The sequence below is a fragment of the Homo sapiens genome, chromosome 2, assembly GCF_000001405.40.
Source record: "Homo sapiens chromosome 2, GRCh38.p14 Primary Assembly".
Lineage (NCBI taxonomy): Eukaryota > Metazoa > Chordata > Mammalia > Primates > Hominidae > Homo > Homo sapiens.
The window spans coordinates 158,200,746-158,218,328 of NC_000002.12; the positions used below are offsets into that span (position 1 = coordinate 158,200,746).

At 37.8% G+C, this 17,583-nt stretch overlaps 1 protein-coding gene and 1 long non-coding RNA gene across 3 annotated transcripts in view, besides 1 other annotated feature; one reads left to right on the top strand and one right to left on the bottom strand.

Annotated features, from left to right (window-relative positions):
• The window catches only part of CCDC148-AS1 (CCDC148 antisense RNA 1), a 69,520-nt gene that overhangs the window by 34,096 nt on the left and 17,841 nt on the right, over positions 1-17,583 (top strand). The window contains exon 4 of the long non-coding RNA NR_038850.1: positions 6,739-6,872. This is a non-coding gene — a long non-coding RNA (CCDC148 antisense RNA 1). The remainder of the gene's footprint in view (positions 1-6,738; positions 6,873-17,583) is intronic.
• The window catches only part of CCDC148 (coiled-coil domain containing 148), a 285,681-nt gene that overhangs the window by 29,673 nt on the left and 238,425 nt on the right, over positions 1-17,583 (bottom strand). The window lies entirely within an intron of this gene.
• Positions 2,018-2,218: a silencer, noted in NCBI's record as "peak3910 fragment used in MPRA reporter construct". NCBI's record gives its function as "represses an SCP1 promoter by STARR-seq MPRAs in K562 erythroleukemia cells {active_cell/tissue: K562}" and the evidence as "EXISTENCE:reporter gene assay evidence [ECO:0000049][PMID:32103011]".

Here is a 17,583-nt window from a genome sequence, read left to right on the forward strand (position 1 = left end):
CATTGTAAAGGCATATTTTTTCCCTTTTAATTTAGTAATTCATAGAGTTATACTTGGTTCTGTGTAAATGTCCAATTTTCTGAAAAATTCTTTACCTAAAAGTTTCACCATCCATTGATGATCTAGAATTATTACATTAGGAAATAAAAAATGTTATTTTCTAAATCTATCATTTCTTCAGCATTTATTAGCTGACACATTAAAATAGCCTAAACTCACCCCATAATTTCCCTGCCCCAGACCTGGAATCAGCCATTTGTTTCCCAATTAGCCCTGTTCCTTCAGGTGGGAAATAATATCTAGAAATCAGTACCTAGATACTAGGTAGGCTCATTGCCACTGGAGTGTCATTGTTTCCCTTACTGTGATGCTTTCTAGAGAGAGAAAAATTTACTTAAAAATTATAAGTTCTTAATTATATTTTCATTTTATATTTAATATCACCGTTTTGAAATTTTCATTTAATATTGGTATTTTTCTTTTACACTGAGTCCTAGTCCTGTTAATATTAATATGTCAATTTATATGTAAATATTTCGAAGTCTCAATACCAGTGTTACCAATAATAATAAACCTAACCAGTGAAGTTTAGGATTTCGTTCCAGTACTTTTTCCCTAAGAATATATCCAAATAATGTATACAGATTACTGTTTTCTTTTATTTGTTACTATTTTTTTTTTGGAGACAGGGTCTCACTCTGTCACCCAGGCTGGAGTGCAGTATTATGATCTTGGCTCACTGCAACCTCCATGTCCCAGGCTCAAGTGACCGTCCCACCTCAGCCTCCTGAGTAGCTGGAACTACAGCTATACGCCACCAACTCTGGCTAATGTTTTTCTATTTTTTGTAGACACAGGGTTTCACCATGTTGCCCAGGCTGCTCTGGAACTCCAGAACATAAGCAATCCAGCCATCTCGGCTTCCTAAAGTGCTGGGATTACAGGTGTGAGCCACCAAACCTGGCCCAGAGTTTTCAAAAGTTACTTAAAATAGTCTTTTTTCCTCATATGGTTATATTATCTTACTTGGGAGGGGTTAAAAAAACATTATTATGACAATTGGGGAAATTTGAATATGGCTAGATACTAATTGATATTATGGAATTACCATTCATTTTCTTAGGTATCACAATGGTATCGTGGTTAAGTACGTAATTGTCCTTATTCTCAGTTAATTCATGTCAATGTAGTGATAAAGTGTCATGATGTCTGCAACTCTCTTTCAAATGGCATGGCATAACAAAGTGTGTGTGTGAAGGTAGAGAGAGAGAGTAGAAATGATGAAGCAAATCGGGCAAAATATTAAAAATTAGTAAAACTGGGTAGAAATTATTTGCACTATTCTTATAACTCTTCCTTTGCTTGAAATTTTATGAATAATTAAAATTTAGAGAAAAAGGTGGGAGAGAAAGAAAAATATTGTCATTGTTCCATATGAATTTTTTAAAGTGTTCCATACACATACGCACAATCACTTTCCCACTTTGGGCAAAATTAATTAACGTATGTATCTTGAGGAAAGAAGCTTATAAGTTTGCTCTGTTTTAGCAGAAGGGTCAGACCATACATAAGGCTCTGAGTGTTATACTGTGGAAGTGAATAGGCAGAAAGGAATGCAATCAGATGAGAATGGTGTCTTTGGTTTAATAGAATGTCAAGTTTTCTCAGCTTTCCTTCATTTCAGTTAAGTTTTTCTAAAGGCGAGATAGAACCCAAGTATGTAAGAATATTTTGCTTTTAAGCAGCAATACTGATGTTCCCCGCTTCTTCCACCATCCTGCTAGACCTGGGGTCAGTACACATTTTGTGGAAACGGTGCCAAATAATAAATATTTCAGGCCTGCAGGCCATACAGTCTCTGTTGGCATCTATTCAACTCTGTCACTGCAGCACACGAAAGCAGCCAGAGACAAACAAAGAAGCTTGGCTCTGTTCCAATAAAACTTTACTTATGGACACAGAAATTTTAATTTCATATAATTTCTACACAACACAAATTCTTTTTTATCTTCTTTTTTTGACCATTTAAACATGCAAAAACATATTCTTAGCTTGCAGGCAATACAAAAAACAGGCAGAGGGCCAGATATGGACTAACCCAGAGAACAAAAGGGAAAACTTAAAATTGAATCTTTGTGTTGGCTGCCCTTTAGCTGCCTAGCTTAACTTTGGTGAAGGAAAGGGGCTCTCTTAGATGGTGTGACAGGTCTGAGCAGCACTATACTCTTAAGCCATTCAGCAGAGAGCAGGAGAGTCCTCTGAGACCTCCAAGATTAAAGAAGTCCATGAGCTGCTGTAAGTAGGGAGGCTTGCTTCAAGTTTGTAATCAGTGTGATTGGAGTCATAATGAAAGTAATGGTAACTGGAACCTTGGTCTGTTAGTCCAGCATCTACTTAGAGTTGGAGAGCATTGTCTTATTTGCTCCCTTCTGCAAGTGAAGCCACCTTACCCACTGTCTGTGCCTTGAGGTCTTTACCTTGACAGATCAATCTCATGTTTATCTGTGCAATAAAATGGGTTTGCTTTCAGATATGAATTCGTCTTATTTAAATAAATGTATATTAGATACTGATACAAATAACTTCCTAAGCAATAAGCTTTATTTGCAATAATTTATATCCTTTAACAATACTGCCATAGTGATCCTGAACCACGATGTTTGGGCATCATCACGGTGGTGTCCTCTGGCCAGTGAGGATTTTCCTCCTAAACTCTTCTCCACTATTAATGGCAAATGAGTTGAAAGCATACTCCCTCCAAAAAGAACTCACAAAACAAAGACCTTATAGGGATGGAGACAGATATGGGGAAAGAGAAAGAGACAATATCCTCAATGTTAAAAGTTTGTTAGGAGAAAGATTTACATTTGTTTCACATGGTCTCAAACAATAAAAGGAGGACCAATGTGTACAAGAGACAGATCTGAGCTTACTATAAAAAATAAAGGAATTAAAAAAAGGAAAAGAAAAAAATTCTATAGCTATCAAAAGATGAAATATACTGCCCTCAAAGATAGCAAGTTCAACATCAGGAGATGCGTATGTACCTAGGATGTATGAAATGTAGGAACACTTAGTAGAGAAGTGGAAGAGATTTAAACATTAAAACCATTGAACTAGATGACTTTTAAGATTTATGATCTTTAATACTCAGGCTTGACAATTTTGAGATGGTACTCTTTCCTTTGTTTAGAATAAAAAGGCAAACATAAATAACCAAGAGACAATTCCTTATTCCTGTAGTTTAAACAGAACTAAAACAAGTGTGACTCATTCAACTATAACAAATCAGGCCCTACCATTTGTCTAGTAGTGGTTTATTCTAGTTAGATTCCTCTACTCAATGAATATTTATTGAGATTGAGTTACCTACAATGTGCCAGATACAAAGGTAGGATGGTGAAGACAGATGCAAATTCCACTTCCGTAGAATTTACTGGAGTTTACTGGAGAAGATAAAAATTTAACAAGTAATTACAATACAAAATGAGCGTTAAGACTGTACAGGAAAAGGGCACTATGGTGGTTTTCAAATAGGATCACAAATTATTTGATACTCCTCCTATTGAGAGTTTGGATCTAAATGCCTTCTACTTGAATCTTGATGGGCCTTATAATTACTTTGACCAGTGGATAAAACAGAAATAACACTATGTGATTTCCAAGACTAAGTCATGAAAGCTATAAGGCTTCTGCCTTTTTTTGTTGGAAGACAATCTCCTGGAGCTCAGAGGCATTATATAGGAAGTCTGGCTCCTCTGAGGCCACTATGCTTTGAAGAAGCCGAGCTTCATGGAGAGACCATGCAAAGCTCCAAATGACAGTTCCCAGCTACCCCCAGCTTTCTAGTCATCTCAGCCCAGACGAAAGAAGACATCAGATTATTCCCCTCCCCTGCCATTCAAGTCCTCCAAGCTCAAACTCCAGAAATTATGAAGCAGAGAAAAACCATCCTCTCCACGCCCTGTCAAAATACTTGACTCTGTCCAAATTCATCTCAGCAGGCATCATGAAAACATACACCAAGAAGACATAACTTCAACAAGAGGCCAAAGAAGGTCTCACTGAGGAAGTCACATTTGTGCAGAGACATGAAGAACACAGGAATGTAGTCAGCCACAGGAATGTTCCCAGTAGAAGAAACATCCATCTGAAGACCCAGTGGATCTACCAGGAACTGGCAGGGCCCAGCAGTCTGGAGAGGAGTAGGAGGGGCAGGACTCCAGTGAGAGATTAAAGAGCTAAGCGGAGTCCAGCCATGGGCATCCCATGGGCAACATTAAGGCATCTGAACTTTACCCAAAGTGTGAAGAAAAACCACAGAAGGGTTTTCAGTATCTGAATGACATGACTAGCTGTGTTTGCTTTGGGGCAAGGCTGAAGTAGTGAGGTGTTGTGGCTGCAATTCAGGTGAGAGGATGGTGGCCCTATCAGGGTGACAGCAAAGGATATCAATATTCAAAAGGTAAATTCACAGAATTTAATAAGCCCTTGGCTGTAGGAGTGGGGAGTAAGAGAGGGAAGAGTCACCTTGGGCTTCTGATTGGGCAGTGAGTACATCCTGTTGTCATTTACAGAAAAGGGAATGCTGGAGGAAGAACAGGGTGGAGAGAGCAATGAATATCTCTATCTGAGGCATGGAAAATGTGAAGTGCCAGGGAGACATCCATATGGCAAAGCCCCAGACAGCTGGCTAAACATTGTAGATAAGGAGGAGGGTGTAGAGAGAAATGAATGTAACAGTGTGTATTGTACTCCGGGTGCTTTATATACATCATTTCCTTTAATTCTGCTAACAATCATTTGGGTGTGTCCAGAGACATAGGTAACTTGACTAAGGTCATAGAGGTAGGAAGTGGTAAGATAGGGATTTTAATACAGATTTTCTTACTCCACATTAAAAAAGACAATCATAATGCCAGATGATTCTTTGTAGGTTTGGAAGGTAGCAAAATCAGCTTTTGGGAATGCCTATCCAGTCAGTTTAGTGAGTGATCTGAACAGCTAACAGTATGAACACAGGTCAGAACAAGAGAAAGCTGTCCAGCTGGTCCAGGCCATGATGCAGATGGCAATGCCACTTGTCCTTGATGCAGAGGGTTCACTGGTGCCCCGGTGTATTCTGGGTAACTAGAATGTCTTATAGAGCATGTCAAAACCTTTATAGGTTCTCGCATAGTAGAGACCCTCAGGGTTCTGCAGCACAATCATGCCTTCTTTGCAAGTTGTAATTTTTCTTTTAAGATCTAGCTCTTGAATCACTATTGGACCCTGGTGATCATTATGATAACTATCATTTGTCAAGCAGATACATGTGGTAGGCATTGTAGTGAGTGTTTTCCATGTTTTAGTGTGTTTATTCCTCACAAGAACCATATAAGGTATGTATTTTTTTAACCTCTGTTTCATAAACAAGAGTTTGGCTCCTGACCTTAAGATACCAGGTAACAATGAGACTCATCGCTATTCCAATGAGCTGGGTGTCACTTGAGCCACCAGATGCTTCTAGGAGTACCTAAGCAGTACCAACTCATTAAACGAATGTAGAATGGGCCTTAAGACCCAAGTAATTTACACAGACAGGCAGCTCCCACTCAGCATGCCACTCCTGCCACAGCAGCATCCTTTCAACCCACACCCACAGCCCCTAAGGCACCCTCTGGAGAAAGGAAAAAATGAGCCAGTTTTACAGCTGGATCTACACATGCACTGGTCCAGACAGAAGCAGAGTGCTGAGATTGATGGCCCTGCTCAGAAATGTCCCTGAAAGGGGATGGAGGAGGGAAATTTACCATGCAAATGTAATTTCAATAGGATGATTTCCATGTTCACTTTACCTCATGTAAAGAATTAGTGACTGGCTCATATTAGGTACTCAGCAAATATTTTTTAATAGATGAATAAAATATGGATTAATAACATTTTGTGGGCAGTAGCTAATGGTTTGGCCAGTAGATTAGGGACACTGAAGGAATAAGATTGGAGGATTGTGAAAATAAGTCCCTGAAAAATTGTTGGAATTAGTCCAGAGTGCCCATGTATTGTATATAGGTGATTTTAAAGAAGTAGGTGGGAGTCATGGCCTACTATGTGTGTATCAGTCTTCTTCCCCAGCAACCTGCCACTTGCTCAATGGGCTTATGATAAAATGCTCCTAGTGATGGGGAACAGGAGATACGGACTGCTCAACCATGTCAGTTGCTTTTATCAAGGCTAATCTGACTACTGTAACTGTGAGTCCTTAACATGGTATAATACCCCAAAGGAATCAGCCAATTTTAGCCAGTTCCAATACTTTATCGACCACTTTCTATTATGGAAAGGACAGAAAAAATAATTGGATTTTCTTTCACTATACACTGTTTTTGGGCCAACTGTGTATCCATAGTATCGCACAAGACATTGTTTCTTCCTAAGGAAGTCCATTAACTGTGTAGAAGTAGAGGAATGGGCTGAAGCGCAGGCATTCACTGCATCACCCGGATACTGCTGTCCTTATAAGACGACAGATAGCCAATTGAAGACTCCACTACAGAACGAACTGGGAAGCAATATTTTCTGAGGTTCAATGCTGTTTTATAAGAAGTGATTTTGCTCTGATTAGTGACCAATATATGGTGCTATTTCTCACAAAGACAGAATATGCACATAATTGTACCACTAAATACAAGTGGGAATGGTGCTTTTCACAATTAACCCCAAAGATCCTTTAATAAAATTTCTGTTTCCCATCCCCAGGACTCCAGGCTCTGCTGGTTTTACTTCTAATGCTTCCATCGGAGGACAACAATGGTTACATTGACTTAAGATCTGATGCAAATGTTTACCTTTTGGGGTCTGTCATACCATGAAGCAAACAGACAGAAAAGAAGGTACAGTGTTGGTTGGAACAATAGACCTATCAATGGGAAATAGGAGTGTTATAATTTAATACAGGCAGGCAGAAGCAGATGAAATCCAAGGAATTCCTAGGACACCTTATGGAATTGTATGCCAGGGATAAAAGTCAACCTATGCAAGCAAGTCCTTCAGAAATTAAGGTAGGAGTCAACCTATTGAGTAAAGAACTGCAGTCAGTCAAGATGCTGGCTGAAAGCAATGGGCATACGTAATTCACAGTACAGAAGGGAAATTATAAATCTGAATTGTGATCTTGACCAAATTTGCAGAAGCAAGGACCACTTACAGAAAGGTGTTCATTTTGATCTGACACACACACACACACACACACACACACACACTTTCTGTTCACTTCCTTCACCTCCCTTTTCCATACTATTTTACATGAGGTGTTGTTATTGGTAGTGAACTTTAAAATTCCATTCACAGGTCATGGAATATAAAGATAGATCATGACAAGATGAGAGGATGATAGGGCAAAAAGATATGACCCTAGGGATCTTGGATTTGGAACTGGATGCTGTAACAAATGAGACTTTAAGTTTATTCCCTTTGGGAATGAAGCGAGTACATTTTGGGTTGTAAAAGGTAAAACAACAGTCTTAGGTGGAAGCAAATTTTTTGCTGTTTTAGGTATAGAAAGAAGGGTATGTGTTGATTTTTCTAACTAAAGCTGTGAACTGTAGAAGGTGTTCTCTTTCTTTTTTCTCGCTTCTGAGCCCCCTTCCTCCTTTGTAGAAATCCCCACTGTAAGCTGAGGCCTGATGCTTGCTTTCCCAGCCTCCTCTGCAGCTAGAGCATGAGTGTGGGACCTGAGCTCTGCCCTATGGATGCTGCACTCAGAAGCCAGTGGTGCAGAGAAGCAGGGCCTGTCGAGGAGCTGTTAGGGCCCTGGGCAGGGTGGCACGACAGGAACAGGAACAAAGGCAGTGTTGCCAGCAGAGATGCCCAATGTCATGAGACCACAGGGGAGGAGGCACGCCATGAGGTCCAGTAGTCATGGTTAAACTTAAGAGGATAATTCCGAAGGGAGTTGGGTTCCAATCCTGACTCTTTTCTATCTTCCCAGACTTCATTATTCCCAACAGTTTGCTAAGCTTGGGTCTGTGGCCTAACTGATGATTTTGTGGGCTACTCAAATATCTTTCCACAAAAATCTTTTTACCACAAAATTTAACTAGAAAGGATTTCTGTTGCTTGTAAGCTAAAACCTTAGTTAATGCAAGGAGGTTGGACTAGATGCATTGTATGATTCCTCCCAGTTTCAAAATTATATGACGCTGTAAAACTTATATTAGAATATATTTTTTAAAAAAACCCAGATTATAAACATGCTCCCTTCATTAACCTTCTAATTCTTATTTAATATCATCTGATGGCTGTATTTATGTATGTATATTTATAAATAAACATAAATATATGTTATATATACATACATACATGTGTATGTATGTATATATATAAATAAACATAAACATATATTTTTACACATACATATTTTTTTTCAGGGGTAGTCCCCCAAAAGAATAAACTTCAAGTGCCTGGAGTTCTATGGTATCCACCAGGGTAGTGGCATATTGTAAAAGCTACCATGTTATTTCTCCCAATCCATGGCTTTATTCTCCTTCCTTCATTTAACCTATACCAGCTAAGTTTCTGCCTACCTAGCCCTGCAGCTTTATAAAATCTTTGCAAAGTTTATGCCCAAAAGGTCAGTATTTCATTACTTAAAACTACTTAGTAAAACTCCCTAAGAAGTTAGTAATAAAGACATCAATACATCAATAAAGTATATAATGGTTGCCTCCATATCACTCACAAATACTGTGTGATGTACTGGAGGACACAGCATCCTTTGCTGCTGTGGAAGACCTGCAAAGCATTTACCTCTGCATATAGGTGTAAAGGTTGCCAGAGAGAAAGGTTGGGTTACCCACGAAGGGATGCCCATCAGACTAACAGCGGATCTCTCTGCAGAAACCCTACAAGCCAGAAGACAGAAGGGGCCAATATTCAACATTCTTAAAGAAAAGAATTTCAACCCAGAATTTCATATCCAGCCAAACTAAGCTTCGTAAGCGAAGGAGAAATAAAATCCTTTACAGACAAGCTAATGCTGAGAGATTCTGTCACCACCAGGCCTGCCTTACAAGAGCTCCTGAAGGAAGTACTAAATACAGAAAGAAAAAACCGGTACCAGCCACTGCAAAAACATACCAAATTGTAGACCATCGACACTATGAAGAAACTGTATCAACTAATGGGCAAAATAACCAGCTAGCATCATAATGACAGGATCAAATTCACACATAACAATATTCACCTTAAATGTAAATGGGCTAAATGCCCCAATTAAAAGACACAGACTGGCAAATTGGATAAAGAGTCACGACCCATTGGTGTGCTCTATTCAAGAGACCCATCTCACGTGCAAAGACACACATAGGCTCAAAATAAAGGGATGGAGGAATATTTACCAAGCAAATGGAAAGCAAAAAAAGGCAGGGGTTGCGATCCTAGTCTCTGATAAAATAGACTTTAAACCAACAAAGATCAAAAAAGACAAAAAAGGGCATTACATAATGGTAAAAGTATCCAAGCAACAAGAAGAGCGAGCTATCCTAAATATATATGCACCCAATACAGGAGCACTCAGATTCATAAAGCAAGTTCTTAGAGATCTACAAAGAGACTTAGACTCCCACACAATAATAGTGGGAGACTTTAACACCCCACTGTCAATATTAGACAGAACAATGAGACAGAAAATTAACAAGGATATTTAGGACTTGAACTCAGCTCTGGATCAAGCAGACCTAATAGACATCTACAGAACTCTTCACCCCAAGTCAACAGAATATGCATTCTACTCAGCACCACATCACACTTACTCTAAAATTGACTACAGAGCTGGAAGTAAAACACTCCTCAGCAAATGCAAAAGAACAGAAATCATAACAGTCTCTCAGACCACAGTGCAATCAAATGAGAATGCAAGATTAAGAAATTCACTCAAGGCCGGGTGCGGTGGCTCACACCTGTAATCCCAGCACTTTGGGAGGCCGAGGCAGGCAGATCACGAGGTCAGGAGATTGAGAACCTCCTGGCTAACATGCTGAAACCGTGTCTCTACTAAAAATACAAAAAAAAAAAAAAAAAAAAAATTAGCCGGGCATGGTAGCAGGTGCCCATAGTCCCAGCTACTTGGGAGGCTGAGACAGGAGAATGGCGTGAATCTGGGAGGCGGAGCTTGCAGTGAGCCAAGATCATGCCACTGCACTCCAGCCTGGGCGACAGAGCAAGACTCTGTCTCGAAAAAAAAAAAAAAAAAAGAAACAATGAGAACACATGGACACAGGGAGGGGAACATCACACACCAGGGCCTACTTGGGGGTTGGGGGCTAGGGGAGGGATAGCATTAGGAGAAATATCTAATGTAGACGGTGGGTTGATGGGTGCAGCAAACCACCATGGCACGTGTATACCTATGTAACCAACCTGTACATTCTGCACACATATCCCAGAACTTAAAGTATAATAATAAAAAAAAAGAAAGAAAACAACCTAATGCTCCAACAAAAACTTTCAAATATCTGTAGCACTAGTTATGTACCAAAATAAAAGTCTGTGTTACTGAAGAGGAGAATTTGAGATAATTGATTCTCAAAAAGATCACAGCACCTAGATGTTCTATTCGGAATTACAGCATCTGTGGTCAATTCATTGACACATACATATGAAACAAAAATAATGGTGGGCATAAAGGGATGTAATAATGCTCATTTTATACATTAAAAAACATATTCTAAAGTATTTCTGATTGTTGTCTGACCTTTACCAGACACATACCTGCTGACATTCCATTTTTTGACCTGAACAAGTAAATGCAACAGACAGATCAACTTAGCACACAACGAAAATCCAGTAACTCTTTAAATGAACAAGATTTCCAAATCAAAAATCAAAGTTGTAAACAACAAAGTAAAAGCAGCCTAAACTACTCAGCAAACGACATGCTTCAATTGCTTGTGGTTTGGAAGGAACCAGAGATGTACAGTCAACTTGATGTACAGTCATCAGGAGCTAAATCATCATCCAAGACCTCTTGAATGACCTTCAGCTGTGCCATCTCTGCCCAGCTGGTGCTCCATTTGCCCACAGGCATAAGCTTGCTTGTTCATTTTCACATCAAAATTGCTATATATTGCTTTGTCCATGAATTTCTTATCCTCTCTGTCAATCATGCTTGCTTAGCTAAGCTCCATTCAAGAACTACTATGATAATATCCAAATAATCTGTGTATCCATGTCCCAATGTATGAACACACACATCTCCCACAATTTGTTTTGTTATACTGAGAAGCAGGTCATAAGTACTATTATTATTATTATTACTGTTGGCCACCAATGAGGTTTCTTTCCATGTCTTAAGTTACTGCTAATTTGCAAAACATTTCTAATATACATATAAAATACAAAACAGACAGTCCTATTAAGAACTGTATTTGTTTAATGGTTCACAGTGATCTTTGGACTATATCATTTGGCACATCCACTTGGAATGGGGATTTGGTTGACAGAGACTTAATGAACAAGAGCATCCCCATTAATTTTGAGAAATCTCATGCTGAGAAGCAAAAACATGACAAATGTTTGTAAAAATTTCTGATTAAGTCACTTTACTAAACATACTCTTTAAAGATCTCAAACATTAGACTGTGAACCCACTTTAAATTTCCTTAATGCCTTCCAATACAACATGTCGAAATTTGCACATTGTTAAGAAAAGACATGGAAAATAGAGAGAAACATCTGGCTTTGTTACTTAGAAAATGCAATAACTGTCAATTCTCTGATGTTGGCAAGGACCTCAAAACACACACTAGATTCGCAAGGCCAATTTAGTGTTAGAAAGGCAGCTGGCTCTAGTCTCTTCCTTCCCAAATGGTCATTGACATCCTAAACTTCAAATGTTTACTGTTTTACAATACAGGAAAATGCTGTTATTTGGGAAAAAATAACCTAAAATTAGTGCTGCTTTTGTTTTTTGTACTGTGGAAAGCAACGTTTTCTCCACTAAACATACACACACATACATACACATAACTGGGTTGTTAGAAAAATAACACGCAAAATTTTTACTTGAAGTGGTTTTCTAGAATTGATAAACTGTTCCATGAATATAAGTTTCACCTATATGACCTCTCTGAGCTCAGTGAGGGTACTGTCTAGGAAAAGAGAAATTATGGGCATTTCTACAAAAAGTGGAATGGTCTCAAGAACCCAGTAGGTGACTTTGGGCCCATACTTGAGAAAGTGTAGAAAGAACTTTAGTACAATGGTTCTTAAATTTTGCTGCACTTTAGAATCCCCTAAGAATTTCCCAAAAATGTGGGGGTCAGAATTTTCCCCAGAGATATGAATTTAGTTGGTCTGGAGTCTGGCCTGGGCATCAGGACTTTCAAAGGCTCCCCAAGTGATTCTAATGTAGCAAAGAATGGAATAACAGCTGCTCTAGTGTTACATGAGCATTGACTGATAAAGTTCTTAGAACCTGTAGCATCCATTTGTTGGTTGTACCCAACTTCAGTTTTTTTGGTCATGAAATGATATCTAGAGGAACTCCTTAGCTAAGTAAATCTGCTTTTAGAGATCTTTAAAATTATCTTCTGGAGTATATTGTTAAAACATTTTTAAAACATTAAAATTAGCACAAAGGAGGTAAAATGAGAAAAGCAAGCTATTTATTAAATTATAAGAAACAGCAATGGAGATAAGTAGATGAAAGGCCACAATATAATTATCCTTATTAAAGCAATAATTGGCAAATACAGAGGAATAAGATTGTTAACTACAACAGAGCTGAACTTCAGAAAAGTCAAAGATTGAACATTGTAATAAGCATTTTCAAAATGTCATAATGTAAAGGGGAGAAAGGCCCCTGTGCTTGGAAGAATGGTCTAATTTCTGCTTGCATGCTCTGCAACAGTCACTGATAATAGAAAGCAGTGATGCTAAAGATATACAACAAATGAGATATGACCGTTACATATCCTAGCTTTCTACTCCTCCCTGTGTGTAGAATCTTTCACTACCCAACATAAAGAATGCTCAGTAAAGAAAGTTTCTGGGAACAGGGTAAGTGTTTAAAAACACCTGAAAACAAAATAAACATATACATCAAAGTATCACTGCAGCTGTAGAGAACTCTACACTGCAGTGACCAGGGCACCAGTATTGGTCCCAACAAGGTTAGTTAGGAAGTGCAGTCAGTGCCCTGCTGAAAAGAAAGAACAACTACTGCATGCGAAAGAGAGACAGTTTAGCTTTCAGCAGTGGTGGGGTAGGGGGAGGGGGAGAAGACTTTGGGTAAAAATTACCATGAGGGCTAAGTGGCAACGTTTTGGGATGGCTAGAAAGGAACTTGGAGCATAGAGTTACAGAAACTAAAGAACACAAAGAATAAACATTGTGGTAAAAAAAAAAAAAAAAAAAAAAAGACAAAGATACATTCTTATGTCTATTTTGAAGACTGTCATTTGTTACCCAAGAAAACTAAAGGTATCTTTCACTTAATACTCATATTTTGATTAGCATTTTAACTTTTATACATTTCGCTATCCAGTTTGCTCACCAATTTGAAGCCCATCACAAGACAATCAATGAAACTGAAACTTACCTGTGGCAAGCACCCCAATATCCACCAATTTATTGTTGCAACATAAAAAATGAAATGAAAACTACTAGAAATTAGGTAATAAAAACACAATATTTCAAACTTTGTAGAATATGGCCAAAAATAAACAGGAAAATAAAAACTATAGTCGAGTGAATTGATTAGGAAATAAAATACATTGAAAATAAAATAACTAAAGCTTTCAACCCAAGAGGCCAGAAAAAGCACAATAATATTCAGGGTCATGTTTCATTCTTTGTCTTCCTTTAGCCTCCAACCCTGATGACATGAGTCATCAACTCTAACTCATGTAAATACTGCACACACATCTGTCAGCTTTTGTAGCACTTCTGCTTCCCGCTGTCACTTCCTTAGTTCAGATACTTTTTCTCACAGAGCTTACTGAAGGAAACTTATAATTGGCTTCTTGGTCACCAATTTCTACCTATTTCAAAAATAATTTCTGTCCTCCCCAGAAAAAAAAAAAGATGAACTTTTCTAAAGGATCTAGCAAAAGTCTAGAGCTGTAGAGCTATTTGGAAGCATGTCCCCAGGCTGGAGATTAAATTTGGTATACGTGTCAGCTCTCCTTAATAAAATTTCAATACAAAAAAAATCAACAACATTTCTAAGTGAAATTTGACATAAGAATAGCTAAGATATTTTTGAAAAGAACAATGAGTGAACACTTGTTCTACTAGATAGCAAAACAGAATAATTAGAACAGGACACTATCAATGTAGAACTATAAACATAGATCAGTTTTTAATCTAATCAAGAGTCCATATGGATATAAAAGTATAATTAGAAATGTAACATATAACAAAGGTGGCATTTTAAATCAGTGGGTAAAGATGAATCATTAAATAATTGGTGTTGAGATAGTTGGCTATCAATTTAGAACAATTTAGCTCATATCACTCATTAAAATAAGTTCCAGATGGCTACAGAACTAAATTTTAGAAGAAATATGAATAATATATACTATTTTAAAAGAATTAGGTAGGTTTATTTGCAGAGATACCATGTATCATTTTGAAGTTTGTGCTCTACAAAAATGACCCATGACCCAGAGATACAAAAGAAGTATGACATCCAGCTTTGCCTCTGCTTGTCAAGCTGTATGCCATGGTTCAGAAGGGAGTCTTTTCGTAATTTGTCCACTTGTAGTAGGAGCAATATGCACATGCCAACAGAAGGAGGCACCTTTTTCTTTTTTTTCTTTTTTTTTTTAAATTATACTTTAAAGTTCTAGGGTACATATGCACAATGTGCAGGTTTGTTACATATGTATACATGTGCCACGTTGGTGTGCTGCACCTTTTTCTAACTAGCACAAAGGACTTATATGCCAGCAGCAACCTATAAATAGAAGTTAGTAGTGAATAGTCGATTTGTACATACATAAATGCTTTTTTTACACAAATGGTTGCTATAGACTGAATGTGTCTGCTCAAAATTCATATGTTGAGGGCCTAACCCGCAATGTGATGGTATTTGGATATGTAGCCCTCACGGTGGGAGTCACGCCCTTGTAAGAAAAGACACTCAAGTACTTGCTAACTCTCTTCACCATGTGAAGTCACAGCAAGAAGGCCCCATTCTGCAAGCCAGGAAGAGACCCCTCACCAGAACCTGACCATGCTGGCACATTGATCTTGGGCTTCTAGCCTCCAGAATAGTGAGAAAATAAATTTCTGTTGTTCAAGTCACCCAGTCTATGATATTTTGTCATGATAGCCCAAGCTAACTAATACAGTGGTATTATATTGTTAAATGTGTTGTGATTTTTGTTGCTGTTCTTAAACTTGATTTTATATAGGTACATATAAAATAGATAGCATGCATGTATATGCATTTAAAAATGATAAAAGCAATGGCTTTTAGAGAAGAGACTACATGAGGGTAGTGGTTAAGGGCACTTTTGCTTTAACTTTAATTTTTATAATAATGTCCTCATTTTTACATGTTTTATTTAAAATATTTTTAAAAATATTCATTTAAAATGTACCTATATATACGTACTGTAAAAAATCTTTAAGAACAGCAACAAAAAGCACAATACTTTTTTTTTTTTTTTTTTTTTTTTTTTTGAGACGGAGTCTTGCTCTGTCGCCCAGGCTGCAGTGCAGTGGCATGATCTCGGCTCACTGCAACCTCCGCCTCCTGGGTTCAAGCAATTCTCCTGCCTCAGCCTCCTGAGTAGCTGGGATTACAGGTGCGTGCCACCATGCCTGGCTAAAAAAGCACAATACATTTAATAATATAATACCATTGTATTAGTTAGCTTGGGCCATCATGACAAAATATTATAGACTGGGTGACTTGAACAACAGAAATTTATTTTCTCACTATTCTGGAGGCTAGAAGCCCAAGATCAATGTGCCAGCATGGTTAGGTTCTGGTGAGGGCTCTCTTTCTGGCTTGAAGTGTGGCCTTCTTGCTTTAATATTTTGAGAAAAAATACATTAGTATTTTGTGATGTAAAAGTCAATTGATAGGAATCGCTTATATTTAATGAATACTTAACTGTGTTCCAGGCAGTGAATGTGTTACATTCAATGTATCATTTGATCCTTGCAACAATCTTAAGAAGTAGATACTGTTTATATCCTCAAGGTACAGATGAGGAAACTGAAGCACAGGGAAGTTAAATAACTCATCTAAAGATCACACAGCTATAAAGGATAGAGCCAGGATTCTAATGTCAACCGATTCTAGAGCCTTCCCTCTTAATCTCAATGGCATGTTGAGAAATAAAAGCAGGGTATTAGGAGGTTAGTGGAAACTTGGGCAAAAACAATTTTGATAAAATGAAGAGGGCAAAAGACATATTCTAATAGATTGAGAAGGTAAATGTGATTAATAAATAAAACAATTTCTATGTCTTTTTTTAATGTTGAACCACATGAAATTGCCAGTACTCAACCATTTTGACCTACAAAAATGGAATTTTATGTGGTTCAACCTATCATTTTATTTATGTAGGTATATATATATATATATAATTTTGTGTATATATATATATATATATAAAATTTTGTGTGTGTGTGTATATATATATATATATATACACACACACATACATTTCATTTTTTTGAGATGGCGTCTCGCTCTGTTGCCCAGGCTGGAGTGCGGTAGCACGATCTCAGCTCACTGCAAGCTCCGCCTCCTGGGTTCACGCCATTCTCCTGCCTCAGCCTCCCAAGTAGCTGGGTCTACAGGCACCCGCCACCATGCCCGGCTAATTTTTTGTACTTTTTTAGTAGAGACAGGGTTTCACCATGTTAGCCAGGATGGTCTCAATCTCCTGACCTTGTGATCCACCTGCCTTGGCCTCCCAAAGTGCTGGGATTATAGGCATGAGCCACCGCACCCGGTCGAATATTGTTTTTAAGAAATATAATCTTAGAATTTAAAAATAGAAAAGGGAAGTAAATGACGGAAGTTTTCAAACCCTCAAGGATATGTGTGTGTGTTCTGAACACAGTTCTGGAAACTGCTTCAAGCCACCTTATTCTGATACGGAAAAAAAGTGTCCGTAGTTAAAATATCAAACATAAGGTTTATGAATTGTATTTCAGTAGTACAGAAAAATGTTTTAACCAATCAACCGAATTTCTTAGTGCTATGCAGTTATGAAAGAAGACAACTTCTGGTTACTATCGAAAGCAAAAACTATCAGCAATTTTGTATGTTGAATTCTATCTCCCTAAGTCACAAAATGAGGAATATACATCTATAATATTATAAAAATTTTTCTGAGAATTATATGTCTTAAATATCCTGATATTTTAAAGGCCTTTTTCACTGATTTTCCACTGGCAAATAAGCACTGGACTCATAATTATCTGAATCTACAGCATTTTAACATACGAGTTGAACAAACATATCATAGGCCCTTAAAAGTGGATCAACTCTGTCCTCAGAAGTTATCCAGTTCAACTTTACAGAGGACAAAACAGAGCCTGTAGAGGTGAAATGACAGATTTTCCCAAGGTCATATA